General features: G+C 37.5%; 1 protein-coding gene and 1 long non-coding RNA gene across 18 annotated transcripts in view; one reads left to right on the top strand and one right to left on the bottom strand.

Annotated features, from left to right (window-relative positions):
• ADAM7-AS1 (ADAM7, ADAMDEC1 and ADAM28 antisense RNA 1) overlaps window positions 1-6,760 on the top strand; it is a 252,805-nt gene extending 246,045 nt beyond the window's left edge. Inside the window, exons 4-6 of the long non-coding RNA NR_125808.1 lie at window positions 1,645-1,689; window positions 6,324-6,420; window positions 6,517-6,760. This is a non-coding gene — a long non-coding RNA (ADAM7, ADAMDEC1 and ADAM28 antisense RNA 1). The remainder of the gene's footprint in view (window positions 1-1,644; window positions 1,690-6,323; window positions 6,421-6,516) is intronic.
• ADAM28 (ADAM metallopeptidase domain 28) overlaps window positions 1-8,505 on the bottom strand; it is a 64,946-nt gene extending 56,441 nt beyond the window's left edge. For 16 of the 17 annotated variants that reach the window (NR_130710.2, NR_130709.2, XM_005273380.5 and 13 more), the window contains exons 1-2: window positions 8,379-8,505; window positions 2,497-2,600 (exon numbers count right to left, since the gene is read on the bottom strand). Coding sequence is in view for 14 of the 17 variants with exons in the window: in XM_005273380.5 (XP_005273437.1) it covers window positions 2,497-2,600; window positions 8,379-8,424 (150 nt within the window). In the remaining 3 variants the exon portion in view is untranslated. Of the gene's footprint in view, window positions 1-2,496; window positions 2,601-8,378 lie in introns of those variants that run through there. The other variant, XM_047421272.1, reaches the window with a different exon arrangement.

The raw sequence follows: 25,195 nt of genomic DNA, 5'->3' as shown, positions 1-25,195 counted from the left end.
GAATGCGTTTACACTGTTGGTGGGAACGTAATTTAGTTCAACCGTTGTGGAAGACGGTGTGGCAATTCCTCAAAGACCTAGAACCAGAAATACCATTTAACCCAGCAATCCCATTACTGGGTATATACCCAATGGAATATAAATCATTCTATTACAAAGATACATGCATGCACATGTTCATTGCGGCACTATTCACAGTAGCAGTGACGTGGAATCAACCCAAATGCCCATGAGTGAGAGACTGGATAAAGGAAATGTGGTACATATACACCATGGAATACTATGCAACCATAAAAAGGAACAGGATCATGTCCTTTGCAGGCACATGGATGGAGCTGGAAGCCGTTATCCACAGTGAACTTACACAGGAACAGAAAACCAAACACCACATGTTCTCACTTATAATTCAGAGCTGAACAATGAGAACACGTGGACACAGGCAGGGGAACAACACACTCTGAGGAGTGGTAGGCGGCGGGGCAAGGGAGAACATCAGGAAAAATAGCTAATGCATGCTGGGCTTAAAACCTAGGTGATGGGTTGATAGGTGCAGCAAACCACCATGGCACACGTTTATCTATGTAACAAACCTGCACATTCTGCACATGTATCCCAGAACTTAAAATAGAATTTTCAAAAAGACAAAAAGTTATTAGAAAAAAAATTCAGCTGATGAGTCTCTTATTTTTAACAGTAAACGATACAACAAACTGGTCAGTGTCTCAGGGTTACAGACTGACTCTTAGACTTTAGTGTAACAGAACTTGAGCTACCTTAATGGCCAGAAAGCCTGTGTTGATCCCACAGAGGCTCTCAGGAGAACATATGGACTCTCCCATATATTAAATCAATTTAGCTGCTTGGATAGGCAGCCACAAATAATACTAACACATAAAGTTGTCATTTGGAGTCAAACAGAGGTTTGAATCCTAGCTAGAAAACGTATAAGCTATGTGCTCCTAGGCAGGGTACTTAAATTTTCTGAGCCCCTATCTCTCCACTTAGAAATAAAATACTGTAAAAATACACTTAAGTTATATGTTTGTTGAAAGGACTAAATATGAAAATATATTAAAAATCCTTATTTTTTTTTCCAACTTTTATTTTAGATTCAGGGGATACCTGTGCCAGTTTGTTATACAGGTAAATCGCATGTCATGGGGGTTTGGTGTACAGATTACTTTGTCACCCAGATAATAAGCATAATGCACAACAGGAAAAAAGGTGTCTGACATTTTAAAGAAAGTCTTAGAGAGCATTTGAAGAAAGTCATATTGAAGGGGAATCCTATGCTTTTGGGTTCCATCTGAAGTTAGTGAAACCACTTGGTTGATAATTATTTTGGGAAATGGGGTCAAATACAGGTTCTGTTTTCATAAATTTGCTTTAGAAGAAATGCTATGGGAAACCGTGTCCAGTGAGGGAATATGTGCACCGAGTGTGCTGGATTTCAGAGTATTTCTGTAAACTATTATTTGTGTCTCATTTATCTGTATCTTGCTGGCTCCCAGAAGAAGACTTAAGAGTGCAGGTAATTATAACATTGTTATAATTGAATGAATCATCATGTTTTAGCTTTTCTCTTAGAATTAATAAATGTTTATTGAGTAAATGTTGACTGAGAATATGTTGTTTCATTTGCAGTAAGAAACGTACAAACATTAAGAAGAGCCTATTCAGAAAAGACAGGTAAATTTCATGTTAATGTGCATATATACATGCATTCACCTGCTGTATTTTGTTTTCTGTTTCTGTTTCAATTGTCATAGTTGTGTTTGGAAGGATGGATAGATAGAGAGATAGCATCCAATTTTCTTTTGGAAGTACGTAGAATAAATCATCATAAAATGTTAAATTTATGGCTAGGCGGTAGCTCACGCCTGTAATCCCAGCACTTTGGGAGGCCGAGGCGGGCGGATCACAAGGTCAGGAGATAGAAAACATCCTGGCTAACACAGTGAAACCCCGTCTCAACTAAAAATACAAAAAAATTAGCCGAGCGTGGTGGCGGGCGCCTGCAGTCCCAGCTACTCGGGAGGCTGAGGCGGAGAATGGCGTGAACCTGGGAGGCGGAGCTTGCAGTGAGCCAAGATCACACCACTGCACTCCAGCCTGGGCGACAGAGCGAGACTCTGTCTGGAAAAAAAAACAAAAAACAAAAAACAAATTTACTCTTTTTAACCTTGGACAGTTTCTTTCACTTCTCAGAAACTTGATTTGTAGAATGAGGTTAATAATATAACTTTGGGTTATAGTGAAGATTTTTTAAAAGGTCAAAAACAAATACAAATATAATCATTGTTATTTAACTCCAAGGTGTAATTGCTGAAAACATCACAAATTCCACTTGAAACACACAGGCACACACATACACACACACACATATATAAACATACATGTATAAATCCCATATCTATCTCTCATCATAGATAGATATATATATGTGTGTATATATGTATCTCAAATCAAGATCCTTTGATAAATCAAAAGCTGTACCTGTTGCTCTGGCTCTTTGGCCTCTCTTTTATGCAGTGGATGAAGTCTTATAGGATAAACCACTTCATACTTCTTCACCCCAGGGAGTTCTTTTATAGCACTTACTGAGAAAAAAGAAAAAGAAAAGACTTATCCAGGTAGAACTGAAGTAGGCTGGTCAGTAAAGGCCATCCTTACTGCATTCCCAATGAACGATGCCACACACAGAAGCCTGAAGTGATGAATGTCAGAGTGATTAATGTGCTGACACCAGAAGAGAGCAACAACCTCAGAAAGCTACTCTTTCCTCTTAAAGTTTTACTTTAGCCTATATCTTCAGATCCTTCCCCACTAAAAGTTTACAGGTGTTACTGTATTTAGAGAAAGTATTTCTTTTGGATTTTCCCACTTCTTATCTTTGATCCTGCAGTGCAGGGAAATAGCAACAGCTCAGGCAAAAAGAAGTGAAGATAGAAGCGAAAGTAATCCTCTGAGAAGCGAATCAGTCCCAGAAAAATTGGGTTGAAGCACTGGAAACCATACAATGTTAGAAAAATAAAATAACTAATGTGCACAATTTTTATTCTATTTTTCTTGGATTTGAAAACAGCAATATTCTATACTAATAAAAAAAAACTATGTCACAGTAAGAAAAGGCTCCAATACTAGGTTCATAGAATGAGCTGGCATAAGCAGTACAGAAAAACCTTATTTTTGCATACAGAACATTTAAAAAATGAAAATTAGAGAAGCAGATAATTCAAACAGAATCACTGGCCTGGAAGGACTTTTTTGAGCCTGCAGTCATATTGAAAGAGAACTGAAAAGTGATTTGATCCAACCTATCTGCATTTTAAATGCTCCTCTCCATGTTGTCTTTAGAAGTCATTTTGTTTTATTGTATTTTGAGACAATGTCTCACTCTGTCACCAAGCTGGAGTGCAGAGGCACAAACAGGGTTCACTGCAGCCTCAACATCCTGGGCTCAAGCCATCCTTCCACCTCAGCCTCCAGAGTAGCTGGGACTGCAGGTGTGCACCACCATGCCTGGCTTTTTTTTTTTTTTTCTATTAGAGAAGTAGTCTTGCTATGTTGCCCAGGCTGGTCTTGAAATCCCAGGCTGTAGCAATCCTCCTGGCTCGGCCTCCCAAAGTGCTGGGATTACAGGTATGAGCCACAGCACCTGGCCTAGAAGTCATTTTGGAGAGAGAGATTCAATTTTCTCGAAGCTAACATTAGATTTTCTATTTTCTTTTTGATTTGCCCATGTGGTCTAGTCTCTGCTCTGTATATAGTCGATAGACCTGCTCCTTAGCTGCTACAGGTGGCTACAGGCTTAACCAAAATGTAGACTGCAGTAGCAGAATGGGGCCTAACTCTACAACTTTCTAAGACTAAAACTGAAAAGGTTTTTTTCTCTTCTCTGAGTAAGGACTAGGAGGGTCTCTAAAGGTAATGCCAGCTCATTAAAGTACTCAAATCTTAAGTTCTATGGTGAGATACATTTATGTTACTGTGGTTGATCTTTTAACAAACATAGATGAGGCACTTAATAAGTATTATTCCTTGCTTATCTAGGAGGACTGTGCACTTACTCCAGTCACTTCCCACAGAGCAAAACATTGTTTAAAGTTTTCTTCAGAAACTAAAGCATAAACTTTCAAAAAACAGCGTTTTTTAAAAATTACTCGAGAATGACTTTAATTCATTTAACGACTCAAGAGTCACTTACATTTAACTTTGAAGAACAGAAAAAGGGTTTAAACCAGCTAAGAACTCTTTGAGTCAAAAATGGGGTGTTAAAGTAATGAACTATCTTTTCTTTCAGTGGTGTAAGAGTTACTCTAAAAAAAAATTCAAAATTACTTAAAGCCATGGCACTGACATTAGAATACCTTATTTTTTTTATTTGGTTTGAGTCTTTAAATAGTTTGAAAAAAGGACGCCAATTAAATGGTTTCTAAAGCTAGTTCAAGTGGTTTATGATTTATGCATACAAGTACAGAATCCCCTATAACCTCTTTCAAGAGTCAGTGATCATTAGGATAACTGAATTCTGATCCAATGTGATAAAATAAGCCTCATTACATTGTCACACTTCAAGAACAACATCACGGGGTTCTTCAGTTCCTCATTTCTTGCTGTCACAGAGGTAATCGCTGGGCGTCTTTTATTTCTATTAAATTAACTTTTGGTAAAGGAAAAGAATAACATCAATTATAAAAAATTTTTGAAACATAAGTTCAAAAACCTAAAGAAAAATTGATGATTCTTTTTCTGAGTTAAAATTTTTCTAATTATTGTAATTATTTTGAAACACTAAGATGCCAAGAGGTAAGAAAATTACTCCTGCCAGAAATTAACTGATGATATTGACACAATTCCCTGCTGCCTCCTTAATTCAGGGACACAAAACAAGCATACCATAAGGCACCCACGTGCTGCCTGGTACATTACAGTAGCTAATCAATGCAATTAGTCTTGTTAAGATAGAGAGTTCAAGAAGCCAAATTTCACCAATGTTGCAGCCAACATAAATCTTTTTAAATGCTATATTAGAACACACATGATTCTAACAGGAAATAGTAGTCCAAGCTGCCTTCGTGGAATAAAATAATAGCTACGTTCCCGATTTTTTGTATAAAAGCAGAAAATGAAGTGAGTTTCCTTCTCAGCACCATTCAGAAATGGTAAGAAGGAAAACAGGCTCATCTAGCCAACACAAATTTTCTCTCACATGCACCCTGACCTCTATGCTTCTAGTTAGTATCTGAATCCCAATGTTTCATGAAATTAGAAATTGCAAACTGGCTCTTAAATATGGGCTTAAAATATGTAAGTTATGTAATTTATTTCCAACTTTTTGGTGGCCGAACACTTCCAAATGGAAACCAAAAACAAAGCAAAATAAAACAAACAACAACAACAACAAAAAAAAACCCACAACATTTCTTTTAGAAATCATTGGCAACCTCTCAATCTCTTCAGTTTGAAGTGAATGGAATTCCAGCTCCTTCCAAACTCCTGTCACTCCATATATTCTCTAAAGAAACTAAATGGAATTTCTCTTAAAGGCTCTTATTTTCTGGAAACCTAGAAGTCCCTGAAATAATGGGATCTGGAATACAACAAATTACACAGCCATTGTAGGGATGTAACAGACCTAAATATTGTTTAGCTCATCCATCCTTAAGTTTAATGGAAATGGTGCAGCGTCTTCCCCACTGAATAACATCACGTTAATTATTTTTGAAGCCTGAGGAACAAACACAACTAACTGCCATCCAGGGATTACACAAATCCAAGGTGTAACACAATATGTTTTTACTAATTCATTTTAATACTTGCCTTCTCTCTCCCACAGAACTCACACACTGGATTAGTCTTGACTAGCAAAACCAGATCAGGAAAAAGAAAACTGTTATTTTGGTTTAGATGGGATAATTATTTTTGACTGTTTTGAGTCTTAGAAAAGCCAAAGCTCATTAACAACGTTAATATGAGAGACATTAGTCTGGATTGCTACATTATTTGTTCATGTGTTTGGGGTCATTTTGGAAATGGGAACATGAGTATGTAATATTGACATTTTCATTTTCGTTCAAATGTGTTTGAAACTGTTCAAAGAAATGTCTTCTTTCCAAACTGAACACATCATATTAAACGCTGAATTAGGGTTTACACAAGGATATTGACTTATGTCCTGGGATTCTCTGCATCTCCTCAAACCATCTTGTGGTTTTAAACTTCATGCATTAAAAGTGAGTACAAACAAAAGGGAAAAAACTGCATTTCTATTAGGTCTGTTATTTTGACTATTTAGATTAAACTGTATATTTTCTTTTCAGTCTTCCAGTTACCTTATAAAGGCAAGGAAGAACTGGTAGTTTGAAATAAAATAATTTCAAAAAGTGCTGTACCCCCTGAGTATTCTGCTGTAATAAGGTAAGCACCTTTCTCCTTTGTTGATGCAATCATTTACATCTTCACCCCGCAAACACCTGTCACATCCTTTTAAATATTTGTTTTTCCTTTTCCTAGGATGAAATCCCATAAGTCAATTTTTTCTCGGGATTGTGAAGTTCACTGCACACAACCAGCCTTATTTTACATCTCTTTCTTTTATTTCAACCATCTGGGGACTGGGCAGAAGTCATGGTCAGAGGGGCACATATGTATTGCTTTGATGATGGGGGCAGAGAACAAACAGGAAGAACTGGGAAATGAAAATTGCTTTACTTCTTATATTCTGACTAGAAAGGCAACCCAAATGGGAATCATAACAGGGATAGTTCAGTGGCAAAAAGACACCCTTAAAAATAGAAGCTAGAAGTTAAAGGAGGGGTGACATCACACTTTTAGAGTTGACATCAGAGGAAGTTGCATCTCTTGGTGCCATGTTATACATGCACCGTCGGGGCAGCAGAACTGATTAGTGTGCCCAGTTGCACAAAAGGACTGTAATGTGCATGGGCCCCAGTGTTAGCCATGTGACTCTGTTAATGGATCCAGCTTGATCTTTACGCTCTTCAACTAAGCTAGTGCCCAAGCAGTTCTTGTATTTCAGCTTAGAGGGGGTTCTGGAAAAGCTCTTGGTGATAGCATTTTTGGAGAACGGAGAGAAAAAAACATTTCTATTAAGTCTGCCTCAAAAAGTAGGAATTTCAGGTCAATGTTAAATGCCTGGCATGAGTTTTATATATATTTTTAATATTTCAGGCTTATTTTACCAAAAGAAAGCTGGTGTAACACGTTCACATCAGACAAAATAGGTATCAAAGCAAAAGGCATTAGAGATGAAGAGGATCACAGCACAGTGGGAAAAGGTTCAGTTCAGATATAGGTACATATTATATAAAGCAAAAATACACAGAAACAAAAGGAAAATAATTCGATATTTAAAGATATTAGGTTAAGTGAAATTTTTATAAGTCTTGAAAACAAATCAGAAACAGGTGAGACACAGGAAAATCATTTTTAGCAACAAAGTACTAAGAGGGTGCATGGACAAGGAAAACTTTTCCCTCCCTAAGCCCATACCTCTAGTTGATAATCTGTTCCCATCCCCAGGTCCCAGCAAACATTCTAAGACCCAAGAACAGGTTTACTGGGAGGAATTCGAGGCACTGCAGTTCATGTGCTGAGTTAAATAAGCTCTGGAAATAGAAGCTGAAGAATCACAATACCCAATCTAATTTAACCAAAGTCTAATTAGAGAATTTACCAGAAATTGAGAGACTTGCTAGACATAATTTCCTGTTAGGAAGTAGTATTTTTCTCCTTTCAAATTTTTAAATGTTTGGTATAATCAGCAAAATAGAAGTAAATTATCAATTTAAGCTTAACAGAGATATTTTGTTAAGTAATATCACAGTACCTTATAAATAAAAAATATTAATTATTTCCAGTTAGTCACACGTATTATTACTAATAATGAGTAAATACAAAAATATACACTCAAACAGAAAGAGCCAAACTGGCTCCCATAATAATAGTAGGTATTTTCCTAAGCCTTGTACACAGTAATAAATAAATAAATCTGCCACATCTTTACCATTCTTTAAATGACAAGCTGGGTTTTGATGAATTCCACTTTTTCAGTCAAAAATCATATTCATGATTTAAATTGTGCTGTATGAAATTGTCCCTTTTATTTCTGTATATTCTCAGATGAGATGCATACATATTGGTTCAAGACCTCTTGTTGCCTCTTTTTAACATTGTCTTTGTATCACTCGCAGCCCCCAAACAACAGGTTAAAACCAGCCCAACTGGTTAGTAAGATTGATTGAGAAAAAAGAAAAAGAAAAAAGTCAAAATAGTTTATACAATAAAACTATTAGGAGACTATGAAAAGTTCGCTAATGCATTCAATAGAACCTGAAAAAGAGCTAAATATGTACCTGCAACAGAGAGGAGGAGACTGACTGGCAGGAGACCTTGCAACATGCTGGGTGATTCCAGGAGCACGGTGTCTGCTCTTCTCGCTCAGGTGGGTGCTGCTGGGTCTGTCCCTGCCTCCTCTCCAGTGAGACAGAATGAAACTCCCTGGTTCATTCTTGTCTCTGATTCAGGAAGTGTTTACTAAAGGTGTTGCGCAACCTCGAAGCTGTGGTCCTGCAACAATGGCCCAGCAGGCGGAAGTCCTGGCTGCCTCCTGGCTCTAAGATTACTTGATCTGAACTATTGTTTTGCTCTCCTTTGCCATACTCCCCACTCCAAAGTAGTACATTTCCAACATATTACTATAGCCAGATAAGCTACAAGGAAAGAGGCAACTGCATTAATGAGTCTTGAAAAACATGCTAGACATTTATTTACATTACGGATATGATATATAAATATATGTTTAAATATATTTTTATATATATACAGTTGTAGGAAAAAAGTTATTAAGAATGTTATTTTTCCCCCACATACATAATGTGGTTATGTAAAGCAATTTCTAATTCAACCTAATTACTATATAGCATTCTCTTTTCCATTATTTTATGTTCTATTCCTCACACAAGTGTACTCTCAGGAAGTTTGAACTATCCTGAAATAAGAATGTCTGACAATATAAGCACAATAATTTTTAGATCCTTGGGGGTATTTGTGTCATAACTGGCAATGAGGAGTGTGGAAGAAGGATTCAAGACCCAAAGGATACAATTTTAGGATCTGTCACTGGTGGTAGTAAGGCTAAACTGGGCATGTCTAAAAATCATACTTATAACCAATAAAATAACTAATATCAACTGAGCTGCTTATTAAGTTTTAGGTACTGATAGGGTTTGGTTGTGTCCCTACCTGAATCTCATCTTGAATTGTAGCTCCCATAATCCCCATGTGTTGTGGGAGGGACCCAGTGGGAGATAATTGAATCAAGGGGCGGGCTTTTCCCATGCTGTTCTCATTATAGTGAATAAGTCTCATAAGATCTAATGATTTTATAAAGGGCAGTTCCCCTGCTCAGGCTCTCTTTGCCTGCCTCCATGTAAGATGTGTCTTTGCTCCTCCTTCACCTTCTACCATGAGAGTGAGGCCTCCCCAGCCATGTGAAACTGTGAGGCCATGAAACCTCTTTTTAATTTACCCAGTCTCAGATATTTCTTCGTGATAGTATGAAAATGGACTAATACAGGTACTCTCCTAAATCTACTGTACTTGTTATTTTATTAGTCTTTATGATACTCATGTATTATGCATTTACAATCATTTTGCAGGTGAAAATTTGGGGTTTTAAAGGCAAAATTCAAAAGATTAAGAATCAGTTGTCCCCTCATTGTATAGATTAAGAAGATTAAGCAGATAAAGTCACCTATCCAGTAAGTGGTAGAAGTGGAATCTGAACTATGTGTTGTCTGGGCTCTTAGTCATATACTCTAATGCTTTCCCTTGGCTTAGCTGACTTGTACTCCCAGTATCATTTCTATTGAAAAGATTCTGGGAGAATAGAAATAATTATGAAATTCCTAAGGAATAGAAATTACGCTGAGGACCAGTTATTACCACAAAACCTAGTCCTAGTCCACTAAAATCATGCATCATTTTACAGATTCTGAAACACATTCTCATACTAGAGGGATTACAGTGATTATTGATGTCTCCAAATGATTATACAGTCATCAACTAAAACCACAAAGGAATTTTTGAGTCTAGTTACTGAGCATTTTAACCATCAGGATTGCGATTCACAGATTTCTTGCCTTTTCAACCCAAGTTCCATTGCTTTGTCTTTTCCAGGGAACAGAAAGGATACTTCAACTTTTAATTATTACATATTTTTTCTCCATTAATTCAACGTAATTTTACTTACAGCTATTATGTGTCAGACACTGAGATTGCAGTTGAAAAAACACAATCATGGCCGGGAGTGGTGGCTCATGTCTGTAATCCCAGCACTTTGGGAGGCTGAGGCAGACAGACTACCTGAGATCAGAATTTGAGACCAGCCTGCCCAACATGGTGAAACCCCATCTCTACTAAAAAAAAAAAATTAGCTGGGTGTGGTGGTGGTCACCTGTAATCCCAGTTACTCAGGAGGCTGAGGTAGGAGAACTGCTTGATTGCTTGAACCCAGGAGGCAGAGGCTGCAGCGAGCTGAGATTGCAACAACACACTCCAGCCTGGGCAACAGAGCGAGACAGTGTCTCAAACAAACAAACAAACAAAAAACACAATCACTTTCATTGAGATGTTCACAATCTGACAAAGATAAGTTCAATTACCATAAAATTGCACAGAGTGAGTACCACCTATAAATGATCACAATATCACAAGGTGTTTAGTGTTACAATAGATTTATCAATAGAAGTCAGAGGTCTACACCAAACAGGGCAGGGAGTGCATCCTGGTGGCAGGAGTCCTGGGAAAAGGACTCCCTATTTCATAAATGGTGCTGGGATAGCTGGCTAGCCATATGCAGAAGAATAAAACTGGACCCCTACCTTACACCATATACAAAAATTAACTCAAGATGGATTAAAGATTTAAATGTAAGACCTCAAATTATGGAAAACCTAGAAAATGACATTCTGGACATTGGCCCTAGGAAACAATTTATAACTTAAGTCCTCAAAAGCAATTGCAATGAAAACAAAAATGGATGAGTGGGACCTAATTAAATTAAAGAGCTTCTGTAGAGCAAAAAGAAACTATCAGCAGAGCAAACCAACAACCTACATAACGGGTGAAAATATGAGCAAACTACACAGCTGACAAAAGTCTAATATCCAGAATCTATAAAGAACTTAAACAATTGAACAAGCATGAGATAAGTAACCTCATTTAAAAATGGGCAAAAGGGTGGGTGCAGTGGCTCATGCCTGTAATCCTAGCACTCTGGGAGGCCAAGGTGGGCAGATCACCTGAAGTCAAGAGTTCGAGACTAGTCTAGCCAACATAGTGAAACCCCATCTCTATTAAAAATACAAAAATTAGCCACGTGTGGTAGGCACCTGTAGTCCCAGCTACTTGGGAGGCTGAGGCAGGAGAATCACTTGAACCCGGAGGAGGAGGTTGCAGTGAACCAAGACTGCGCCACTGCACTCCAGCCTGGGTGACAGAGCAAGACTCCGTCTCAAAAAAAAAGAAAAAAAAAAAAAAAAAGGGTCAAAAGAAATGAACAGACACTTCTCAAAAGAAGAAATACAAGCAGTTAAAAAAACATGTGAAAAAATTGCCCAACATAACTAATTATCAGAGAAATGCAAATCAAAACAATGAGGTACCAACTCACACCAGCCAAAATGGCTATTACTAAAAAGTCAAAAAATAACAAATGCTGGTGAGGCCACAGAGAAAAGGAAACACACAATGTTGGTAGGAATGTAAATTAGTTCAGCCACTCTGGAAAGCAGTTTGGAGATTTCTCAAAGAAATTAAAACAGAACTGTCATTTGACCGAACAATCCGTTTACTGGATATATAGCCAAAAGAAAATAAATTATTCTACCGAGAAGACACATGCTTATGTTCATCACAGTACTATCCACAAGAGCAATGACATGGAATCAAGCTAGGTGCCCATCAGTGGTGGAATGGATAAATACAATGTGGTACATATATACCTTGGAATACTATGCAGCTATAAAAAAGAATTAAATTGTGTTCTTTGCAGCACATGGATCACCTAGAGGCCATTAACCTAAGTGAATTAATGCAGAAACAGAAAACCGGTACCTTACACCATATACAAAAATTAACTCAAGATGGATTAAAGATTTAAATGTCAGACCTCAAACTATGGAAAACCTAGGAAATGACATTCTGGACATTGGCCCTGGAAACAATTTATGACTTAAGTCCTCAAAAGCAATTGCAATGAAAACAAAAATGGACAAGTGGGACCTAATTAAATTAAAGAGCTTCTGTACAGCAAAAAGAAACTATCAGCAGAGCAAACCAACAACCTACATAACGGGCGAAAATATAAGCAAACTGCACAGCTGACAAAAGTCTAATATCCAAAATCTATAAATACTGCATGTTCTCAATTATACATGGGAGCTAAACGCTGTGTACCCATGGACATAAAGATGACAACAATAGACACTGGGTACTGCTGGAGAAGGGAGGGAAGAGGGGAAAAGGCTGAAAACCTAGCTATTGGATACTATGCTGAGTACCCGGGTGGCAGGATTATTTGTACCCTAAACCTCAGCATCACGGAATATATCCATGTAACAGATGGATATGTACCTCCTTGAATCTAAAATAAAAGTTGGAAAAAAAGAATTATGAGAATAAATAAGGACAATATATTATAGCACATTAGTTTATGGCTGGTAGTGTTTGGAATTGTTGGAGCAAAGAATGCCTGAGAGAATGGGAAGATATCCTGCTAAGTATTTGTGCTTGACTTTGACGCTGTGGTGAATGGTCACCACTGATGGGATCGAATGAGAAGTATAACCTTCCTGCTTGCTTCTTGAGGAGGGGAGTGCCCTGGAAATGGTGAATGATGACAGTCTGCATGCTGATCCATGTGGAATTTTAAATTGGCACTTGTTCTTCGGCTCTTTTCAATTCTCTTGTAGTCGTGACATGCCTTTGATCAGTTTGTTCCAGTTATCATTCTCATAATTTTTCATCATTCTTCATAGCCCAGAGTTATAATTCCCTTTACTGTCAAAGAATTTATACCAATCTCTAAATGAATTTTATTTTCTGCTTCCCTGGTTATTTCCTCAAAGTTGTATCAAGTAAGCATAAAAGTTGAATTTGGGCAGTCAGTTTAATTTTCCCTTTTGTTTCTTTGTGATAAATACAGCATTATCATTGACATCTTTCATTGCCATGACTTGTCAAACTCTTTGCCAGAATATAAAATATAAATGGCAGAAAGAAGAGCTACATGACTGAAAAAACATATATAATACATGAAGAGGAGTACAGTAGAATGAGAAAAAGCATAAGGTAGCACTCAAAACCTGTGCTAAAACATATTTAACAATGTTCTCTCTCTCTCTCTCTATATATATATATAAAATAAATTACACACAGGAATAATGCATGCGTATATACATATCATTACTATTGACTCATTACACACACACACACACACACACACACAGTCATGGATCACTTAACAATGGGGATACAGTCTGAGAAATGTCATTAAACGATTTCGTTGGTTTGTGTTAGAGTATACTTACACAAACCTAGATGGTATAGACTACCACACACCTAGGCTGTATGGTATAGCCTATTGCTCCTAGGCTACAAACCTGTATAGCATGTTACTGTACTGTATAGTGTAGGCAGCTGTAATACAGTGGTATCATGAAACTAAATATATCTAAGTATAGAAATGATATACAATATTATAATCTTATAGGACCACATCATATATGCAATCCATCAATGACCGAAATGTCATTTATGTGGTACATAACTATGTATATACATTTATATGTGTATATATATACACATATAAATATATATAAACCCTCCTTTTCTTTTTGAGATGGTCTCGCTGTTGCCCAGGCTGGAGTGCATTGGCATGATCCTGGCTCACTGTAACCTCTGCCTCCTGGATTAAACCCTGTTTCTATTATATACAGGTATGTGCCACATAAATGACATTTCAATCATCAATGGATTGCCCAGATGATGGTGGTACATCACCACATATAATTGTATGTATATATGTATATGTGTATAAAAATATATATTTAGGATAGTATTTCAGAAAGAGAAATAATACAAGGTATGAGTGCTGCAAAAGGAAGTATGGAATGGTGTAAAATCAGATGGAAATTTCAGAACAATTACCTTGGCAGCAGTGTAGAGAATGACTCTAAAGCCTGATTAGGGAAGAGAAAAGATACCAGCTGTAAGTGAAAATGAAAGAAAGCAAGAGTCTGAATTTAAGCAGAAACAACAGGGATGGAAAGAAGGGGAGAGATTTGAGAAATATTTATTAAGTATAATGGAGAGATACAGTTATTAATTAGATATGGGGGTGCTGAAATTAAAAAGAGGGTTTATTCATTAAATATTTATGTAGTGTCTACTATGTGCCAACTACTGGAATAGGTTTTGGGGATTAGGCTTTCAACACAGAGATAAAAATGTATACATGCTTGGAGATTAGAATCTAGTTGGAATGGGAACGTGAGCAAAATAAATGCTATGAAAAAAATAAAACTAGATGACAAGTTCTGAACAAACATCCATTGCTCATTCCTACTGTTTCCTGCCATGGGAAGACTACCCAGTAGCATAACCTCCTAGCCCCTTTCTGACCCTTGTCTTATTTTGCCAAGGCAAGTAGAGGAACCCATCTGCCTTGCTTGTTTCTCTTCTCCTCTTGGGAGAACATGTATGCTCTGCTTCTCCATCCTTAAGTATCCAGGGATGCAGTGAAGAGCTGTCCTCATGTGGAACAGAGCCAGCCCCATGGACTTCCTGGGAAAGGTAAATGAGCCTACTGGATTCTGGGGACCAGTGCTAGCAAACATGCTAGTCCAAATTTATAAACCACATTTTGGTCATATCCAGCATTAACAATTACAAGGGGGCTATTTTAGTCTTTATTTTCCTTGTCTGCTTTCTCAGATGGCTCAGCGATATAGTGAGGAAGATGAATATTTTTAATTGCCTTATCTTAAAGACAAACAAGAAGGGGTAGGAAGGAAGGAGAGCTGGGGCTACTTATTCCTCTTTTGGGAGGTAACAGATGTTGGGCTCTAAATAATGAGAACCTAAACGTGAAAAAACATGGGAAGAGCATTTCAGGTAGAGGGAACAGAAAATGCAAAAGGATGAGGCTGAAGCACATTCAACATGTCCAAGAACAAAACACGAATCCATGTGGCTGGAGTGACTGAAGGAGAAGAGTCAGTGGGAGATGTGGGGAAAGACGGTAAGAATGTTGAGCCTAAAAGTGGCTTATTTCAAGTGCAATGGAACACCCTTGGTGGAACTTCAGCACATTTCTAAAATTTATCTACAGAGACAGAAATACAGAGTGGAAGAAGAGAGACCAATTCAGAAGCTGCTGAAACACATCCAAAAAACAATGGGTCAGTGAGGAAGCAGTGAAAATGGAGGTCAGTGCTCAGGTTAGGGACATATTTAGGCAGTAGGGATGCCAACGTTTGCTTATGGCTTGATTCCCTGATCTTTGTGTAGGAATCTGAGTTAGGTAATTGCCTTGTTCCATTAGAGTGGAGATTCACACAAGAGAGCAGGTAAGGGAAAAAATGTGTAAGATTAGTTTGAGACATGTTACATTCAGGCAGGATATTCAGTCATTAATTAGAAAAAGCATGTTTGGATTTCAGTATGGAGATCTATTTTTAAAAAATAATAGATATCATAAACATAATTGTCATGCTGTGTTCTCTGGGAATTTATTATATTCAAGAGCTTAAAATACTTTCAATAGTAATTACTAACAACCATCAATTTCTATGAATGAGAAACTGTGTCTTTTTTTAATTTAGGTTCCAGGGTACATGTACAGGATGTACAGGTTTGTTACATAGGTAAATGTGTGCCACTGTGGTTTGCTGCACCTATCAATCCATCAGCTAGGTATTAAGCCCCACAGCCCCACATGCATTAGCTATTTATCCTGATGCTCTCCCTCCCTGTCCCCCCTGACAGGCTCCAGTGTGTGTTCTTCACCTCCCTGTGCCCAAGTGTTCTCATTGTTTAGCTCCCACTTATGAGTGAGAACATGCAGTGTTTGATTCTCTGTTCCTGTGTTAGTTTGCTGAGGATAATGGCTTTCAGCTCCATCCATTTCCCTCTCATTCCTTTTTATGGCTGCATAGTATTCATTTGTGTGTATGTCCCACATTTTCTTTATCCAGTCTATTACTAATGGGCATTTGGATTGATTCCATGTTTTTGCTATTGTGAATAGTGCTGCAATAAACTTATGCATACCTGTATCATTATAATAGAATGATTTATATTCCTTTGATTATATGCCCAGTAATGGGATTGCTGGATCAAATGGTATTTCTGGTTAAAGATCCTTGAGAAATTGCCTCACTATCTTCCACAATGGTTGAACTAATTTACATTCCCACCAACAGTATAAAAGCGTTCCTATTTCTCCACAGCCTCACCAGCATCTGTTGTTTTTTGACATCTTAATAATTTCCAGTCTAACTGGCATGAGATAGTATCTCATTGTGGTTTTGATTTGCATTTCTCTAATGAGCAGTGATGTTGAACTTTTTTTCATATTTGTTGGCAACGTAAGTTTCTCCTTTTGAGAGGTGTCTGTTCATGTCTTTTGCCCAATTTTGATTGGGTTGCTTTTTGTTTTTGAGATGGAGTCTCGCACTGTAGTCCAGGCAGGGGTGCAGTGGCGCGATCTCGGCTCACTGCAAGCTCCACCTCCCGGATTCATGCCATTCTCCTGCCTCAGCCTCCCGAGCAGCTGGGACTACAGGTGCCTGCCACCACACCCGGCTAACTTTTTGTATTTTTAGTAGAGACAGGGTTTCACCAGGTTAGCCAAGATGGTCTTGATCTCCTGACCTCGTGATCCACCCGCCTCGGCCTCCCAAAGTGCTGGGATTACAGGCATGAGCCACCACCCCCTGTGAATTTGTTTAAGTTCCTTATAGATTCTGGATATTAGACCTTTGTCCGATAAGTTGCAAAATTTTTATCCCATTGTATAGGTTGTCTCTTCACTCTAATGATAGTTTCTTTTGCTGTGCAGAAGCACTTTAGTTTAATTAGGTCCCATTTGTCAATTTTTGCTTTTGTTTCTGTTGCTTTTGATGTTTTTCTCATGAAATCTTTCTCTGTGCCTACGTCCTGAATGGTATCGCCTAGATTTTCTTCTAGGGTTTTTATAGTTTTGGGTTTTACATTTAAGTATTTAATCCATCTTGAGTTAATTTTTGTATAAGATGTAAAGAAGGGGTCCAGTTTTAAAGTTCTGCATATGGCTAGACAGTTTTCCCAGCACTATTTATTAAATAGGGACTCCTTTCCCATTGTTTATTTTTGTCAGATTTGTTGAAGATTGGATGGTTGTAGATGGTCTTATTTCTGAGATCTCTATCTGTTCCATTGGTATATGTGTCTGTTTTGGTACCAGTACCATGCTGCTTTGATTACTGCTGCCTTATAGTATAGTTTGAAGTCATTTAGCATGAAGTCTCCAGCTTTATTCTTTCTGCTTAGGATTGTCTTGGCTATATGGGCTTTCTTTTGGTTCTATATGAATTTTAAAGTAGTTTTTTCTAACTCTGTGAAGAATGTCAATGGTAGTTTAATGGGAATAGCAATGAATCTATAAATTACTTTGGGCAATATGGCCATTTTCATGATAATGATTCTTCCTATCCACAAGCATGGAATGTTTTTCCATTTGTTTGTGTCCTCTATCGTTTCCTCTCTCATTTCCTTTGAACTACAAGCACTAGTTTGTAGTTCTCCTTGAAGAGGTCCTTCACATCCCTTGTTAATGGTATTCCTAGGTATTTTATTCTCTTTGTAGCAGTTGTGAATGGAAGTTCATATATGATTTGGCTCTCTGCTTGACTATTGTTGGTGTATAGGAATGCTTGTAATTTTTGCACATTTATTCTGTATCCTGAGACTTTGCTGAAGTTGCTTATCAGCTTAAGAAGCTTTTTGGCTGAGATGATGGGGTTTTCTAGATATAGGATCATGTCATCTGCAAACAGAGACAATTTGACTTCCTCTTTTCCTATTTGAATGCCTTTTATTTCTTTCTCTTGCCTGATTGTCCTGGCTAGAACATCCAATACTATGTCGAATAGGAGTGGTGAGAGAGGGCATCCTTGCCTTGCACCAGTTTTCAAAGGGAATGCTTCCAGTTTTTGCCCATTCAGTATGATATTGGCTGTGGGTTTGTCATAAATGGCTATTATTTTGAGATCTGTTCCATTAATAGTTTATTGAAAGTTTTTAACATGAAGCGATGTTGAATTTTATCAAAGGGTTTTTCTGAATTTACTGAGATAATCACGGTTTTTGTCATTAGTTCTGCTTATGCGATGAATTATGTTTACTGATTTGCATATGTTGAACCAGCGGGGTGAAGCTGATTTGATCATGGTGGATAAGCTTTTTGATGTGCTGCTGGATTCAGTTTGCCAGTGTTTTATTGAGGATTTTTGCATCGATGTTCATCAGGGATATTGGCCTGAAGTTTTCTTTTCTTGTATCTCTGCCAGGTTTTGATATCAGGATGATGCTGGCCTCATAAAATGAGTTAGGGAGAAGTCCCTCCTTTTCAATTGTTTGGAATAGTTTCAGAAGGAATGGTACCAGCTCCTCTTTGTGCCCCTGGTAGCATTCAGCTGTAAATCCATCTGGTCCTGGGCTTTTTGTGGTTGATAGGCTATTTATTACTACCTCAATTTCAGACCTTGTTATTGGTCTAATCAGGGATTCGACTTCTTCCTGGTTTAGTCTTTGTAGGGTGTATGTGTCCAGGAATTTATCCATTTTTTGATTTTCTAGTTTATCGCATAGAGTTGTTTATAGTATTCTCTGATGGTTGTTTGTGTTTATGTGGGATCAGTGGTGACATCCCTTTTATCATCTTTTATTGTGTCCATTTGATTCTTCTCTCTTTTCTTCCTCTTTATTCTAGCTTGCCTTCTACCGATTTTATTAGTTATTTTTTTTTTTCAAAAAACCAGCTCCTAGATTCATTGAATTTTTGAAGGGTTTTTCGTGTCTGTATCTCCTTCAGTTCTGCTCTGATCTTAGTTATTTCTTGTCTTCTGCTAGCTTTTGGATTTGTTTGCTTGCTTCTCTAGTTCTTTTAGTTGTTATGTTAGGGTGTCAATTTGAGATGTTTCCAGCTTTCTGATGTGGGCATTTAGTGCTATAAATTTCCTCTTAACACTGCTTTAGCTGCGTCACAGAAATTCTGGTATGCTCTCTCTTTATTCTCATTGGTTTCAAAGAACTTCTTGATTTCTGCCTTATTTTCATTATTTACCCAGGACTTATTCAGGAGCAGGTTGTTCAATTTCCATGTAGTCACGTGGTTTTGAGTGAGAGAAACTTTCTCTCCAACTCCACATAAGGGGGTTTACTACTGAAGCACCAGAAGGACTTCACTGTAACTCTCTTTCACTCCCAGAAACAAAATAGCTATGCTCCCAGGTGCTCTATTCACTTAGGGGAGAAGAAGGGCTGTACATGTGAAAGACTGTATCTTTTCTCCAAAGAACTTCACAAACACTTCTTTTCAGCCCAGAATTTTCCCTTCTTTCTGCTTGCCAGCTGGATTATGTCAAAGAAGGTCATGTAGCAAGAAGAGTAAGTTTTTTTTATTGAAAGCTGGGAATGAGAGAAAAAGGATGACTCCTACTGAGCCCCGGCCTCAGGTCAGGGGGTGCACAGTCTTGGTGAGGGGAAAAGGAGAGAGAATCACATGCTCACTGGGCAGTTGGGATGTGCCAGTTGGCTTATATAGCACATATGAATCTTCACCGTAACGCTAAGAAGGAAATATCGTGGAAATATCAAAGACAATAGACATTTTCTGATCATGTGTGACAAATTTTGGGGCCGCTGGATGTGGGATCTTCAACATATGTTTTTATTCAGTTAGTCAATAATATTTTAACAGCTGTGCTCTTACAATTGCTCCTGGAACGGACAGAAAAGTACCACTCCTTCAACCCAAAGGCAGGCCAGAGTCATGTAGTGCCAAGGCACTGTATTTGTTTCCCAGTACCTAGAAATGGCCTGCACAGAACTGGCACTGAGTGAATGCTTTGGTGATGCTTTTAAGAGATGTTTGGTGGGGTTTCAGGAAATTGGACTTTAACATGGCTGACCACATTCCTTCTATCTGCTCACTACATATATTGTATATGTGCTGAAAATGTATCTGATTTCTTTCCTTCCTCTGTTGTTTAGCAAAACAGACAAAAGTGCAAACTTAGAGTTGGAGGGTAACCTCCAAGAGAAAAACAGGCTGGTCAGTGTCAAATACAAGATTTTAAAATATTTTCTTAAACATTAAACAAATACTTCAACCATTGAGAATCATTCTAAAGAAATTGTCTGAAATGTAAAATGTATCAAGATATTAATTATATTGTTGATACAAGATAAAAGCAAAATTAAATGTCCCAAAATAAGAACATGGTTATGTAAATGTTTCATGCTTGCTCAATAAAGTACTGAACCATAATGTAAAATTACCATTATAATGAATTTTTATATTATAGAAAATGTTTATATTATACTGTTAGGGCAAAAATGATGTACTACAGTTAAATGATCAAAACTAAATAAAAGCATCAAGAATCCATTAAGAATAAAAAACCAAGAACACAAAAAGAAGTCCCAAATAGAGGCATGTGTGAATGTGTGTGTGTGTGTGTGTGTGTGTGTGTGTATGTGTGTATGGTAAGAAGATAAGTATTTTTATCTCCTCTCTGTATTTCTTAATTTTTAAGCAGTGGTTGGTATTACCTTTATAACTTAACAATTATGTAAAAATCAGCTTGGAAAATAAATATTTTCCAAATTTAATAAAACAAGCTCTTTCTCCCCTAACCAAGATTTTCTTTAAGATATATGTGTTATTCATCATTAAATCCCCAAGACCCCAATACAGTGATTAGAAAATAGTAGCTGCTAAATATTTGTACACTAAATTCATGATTGAAACAGGATCACTCTTCAAAAAACAAGCAGAGCCTCAGAACCACAAGTCATGAACTGCTGAGCCTTAGAAGAGGAGGAAAAAAAAAGCTATTAGGGTTTCCTATTCTAACATGCTCTGTTCCCACCTGTGGTAAGTAGATAGTGTTGCACAAAGAAAAGAAAGCTATTTGCTTTTGAGCTTAGTAAACACATTTCCACAAAAGAAAGCGAAGAGATTTTGTTATCACCTTTCAGGTACTATATTTACATAAGTTTCTACCCTCTTGCTTAGGTTGCTATTTTATAATTAGTTAATAACCTCTCAGGCCCTGAATTACTAGCTATGTATTTAAGACACGCTACATGCTATTAGGTCCTTTGTAACATGAAACAGCCCATCCTCTCATCATACACTATCTAAGTTTTAAAGCAATAGGTAATCAGCAGAGATGTTAATATATTGTATACAATCAATGGATGCACTATTTGCAGAATTTGACGCACTTAACAAGCAGACAGGGCTTGGCAGAACAATCTGCCTTCCAAGTAGAATGAGGATAGACACCACCCATCTTTATATCTATGATTCTTCTATGTTTTCTTTCTTCTCCCTACACTCTCCACTGGCATGATGAGATATAAGGACTAAAATTAAGGTCCAATGTTATGTATGACATGACATTTGGGGAAAACTGGTAGGGCCTGGAATGGCTTAACCACCAATCTTGCTCCTCACCTTTCTCCCATGGATAACCTCCACTAGTCAAACAACTCTCCTTATCACAGGGACTAGGCAAAGTTCCTGCTTATTCCTGAGTAGTGAGCTTCAGTTCCCTGCCAGCTACAGAATTACTCAGATAAGGCAATCACATACTCCCACGGGAACCAGAGGGCACCTCACCGCATTGATACTAATCACAAAGCCTGCTTCCCACAGCCCTAGTTTTTCCCTGTTCCCTGTACTTATGTTCCTCATGTGGCCTTTATGGCATGCAGTGTCCTCTTCCTTGAGCGATGAGTATATGTGACATGAGCATTTGTCAACCTTATCTGTCCAGGACCAGGCAACATATGTTCAGCATCTCCATAAACCTAGGATGGGAATACCTCCCCAGCCAACAGGGCAAATAAAAGAAGATAAGACTGCTCACTATGCATCTGCATAACTAAGAAGGCCTCCAGTGGATCCTTTGTAGGACAAAGAGGATCAGCTTTTTTGGGTCGAAAATCCTGGATCTACTTTACAAAGTAATGGACACCCACATGAATAATAATGCCCAAAGATATCACAAGTGGATTAAAATGTACTTTAAACAACTGGGAGTATGTAGATGCATATATATATATATATGCACACACACACATACATATACACACATATACGCACATATTTGTACATATACACACACACATATATACTCCCAAATGTGCTATATATAAAAACATACAATACAAATACATATATATATGTCTGTGTATATATATATATGAACCTACTGTGTATATTCAGAAAATTATGTGTGTATATATGTGTGTATATATGTGTATATATGTGTGTGCATATATGAGTATGTGTATATATATATACACATACATATACACACACATATATATATACTGATTCTTCATCTTTTGATCAGATAAAATCTTGTAAGCCAGGACCAACAGATTCTGAGGCTGACAGCCCTGTCCTCACTTTTAAATAAGCAATGTAGAAGAACACTGACAAGAATACATTCAACATATTGATCTCTACAGGAATGAGTCATTCTACAATATTACCTGTTTCTGTGTCATGTGCTTCTGGATTAATAAGAGGTGCTCAGTTGAGAGGATCAAAATACAAGACTGGGCAATTCTGATTTCTCTCTCAATTTGCAAGCAAAGAAAGTTGTTAACCCATCCTCTTAAAAATGGTTGATGATTTATGCACAATGTGTATGAATGTCAACCATCCAAATATTCATGTTTTGTTAATTTGGGATTAACATGATCCCAGATGGGGATAGGTCAAGAATGAAGCCATTTGTGAAAACGGCTTAAAAAGAGAGAAAATAAATTCAATGGAGTGTCATTTAACTGAGAGATAAGAGTTTGAAGAAATTAAGATCTGGAATTTTAACCTATAAATGTGTGATGGTTAATTTTTTTTTCCTCTTTGGCATTGAATTTATTTTTATTTTAAGTTCTGGGATACATGTGCAGAATATGCAGGTTTGTTGCATAGGTATAAATGTGCCATGGTGGTTTGCTGCACCTATCAACCCATCATCTAGGCTTTAAGCCCCACATGCATTAGGTAGATGGGTAATTTTATAGGTCAACTTGACTGAGCCAGAATGTCCATATATGTCCATATATTTGGTCAGATCTTATTCTTGGTCATTCCTGAGAAGATTTTTTTATGAGATTAACATTTAAATGAGAAGACTATGAGTAAAACAGATTATGCTTCACAATACAGGTGGGCCTCACCAATCAGTTGAAGGCCTTAGTACAACAAAGACTGACCTCACCTGAATAAGAAGGAAGTCAACCAGCAGACCACCTTTGGACTTGAGCTGTAACTCTTCTCTGATTCTCCAGGGAAAACAAAATACTGATTTACCAAGCTTCCATAACTGTGTGAGCCAAGTGCTTAAAATAAATCTCTTTCATATGTATAGGAAAGAGATATATATGTGAGTATATGCATGCACACACACACACACACACACACCCTGTTAATTCTGTTTCTCTGGAGAGCCCTGATGAATACAAAGTATTCATTCATTTCCCTGCACTTCCTATGGGAATTAGGATTTTTTGGATACAGCATTCCATGTTCCCCTTTCTACCACTTAAGATGTGATAGAGGAAGAAATGATGAAAATGGCTGTGCAAATACTTTTTCCAAGAATGGGAAAATCACCACTCTTATCCCACTAGTCATGTTTAGTAGTCTACAGGGCATGGAGATAGCCATCCTGGTAGAACCCAGCATATGACACGTGCTCACACTCAGTAAATACAAGATGGAGAAACTGGGCCTTGAGCAGGTTACTGAGAATAAATCAGAGTGGTGGACAAACAGGGAACAGAAGAGACTTTCTAAATAAATAAAGTAGTCAACAGCACCAAATATCCCCGAGATATTATAGTAATTAAGAAGTAGTCTTTGAATTTGGAAATGAGTAGGTCACTGATGTCTTTATCAAGGATAGTTTCAGTGGAGAGATAAAGGCGGAATTAAGTAAAGAGTATGAATTAAAATGTATTGTTTATAGAACTTGTACTTGGAAGGAAAGGAGAAATAACAAGCTGGTTTTTTTTGCCCCAAGATGAAACTGGTTAATTTGTAAGTTGAAAGAGTGTAGAAGGATGAAAGTTATAGAGTGGTAGGTTAGAGTTCATTCTCATTGGGCTTGAGATGAGCTGGGATTAAGAAAGCAGGTAAGTGTATTCGACTAGGGTGATGGATTATAAGTGATAGCCTATAATGGATCTAATCCAATATAGGTTATCATAACCTAAAAACCTGTACTGATTTAGAGCCAATAGAGGTTATCACAAGACCTAAAAAATATTGGGGTCTAGTGAAGAAGTATGCACACTATGGAAAGTATTGTATCCATGAAACAAGAACAAAATAATCTGCTAGGAGTGAGGGGTGAGAGTTGGGTGAGAGTCTCAAGGGGCACGTTGGATGTTGGGATCCATAAATCCTTCATGGCAGCTCTACTGACACATATATTAGGAAAAATACAGAAGTACAAGTATCATACTATCCAAGTTGAATATACATAAAATAACCAACTTGAGCAGAACTAAGGTGATAGAACACTTCTCTGAAGTTCCCCCCAAAAAAGCAAAACAAAAACAAAGCATGGCTGTTAAAATAATTTTGTGAAAAGTATGTAAAACAATTTAAGAGGCCTATGTTACCCCCCCAAAAAAAAGATTTTTTTAAAAAAACAACTCTATAAAACAAGAGAAGAAAGCCACAAGGAGGAAGCACACTTAAATGACCGTAGCTACAAAGGAAGCAGCCTGTATTGGGCAAAGCATGCAGGAGAACACTGGGGAAGATGCCAATGTGAGCTTTCGGGTCTAATCTTTCTGCTGCTGATACTCTGTC

This window comes from Homo sapiens, chromosome 8, assembly GCF_000001405.40.
Source record: "Homo sapiens chromosome 8, GRCh38.p14 Primary Assembly".
NCBI lineage: Eukaryota > Metazoa > Chordata > Mammalia > Primates > Hominidae > Homo > Homo sapiens.
This window is presented reverse-complemented; position numbering and strand designations above follow the sequence as displayed.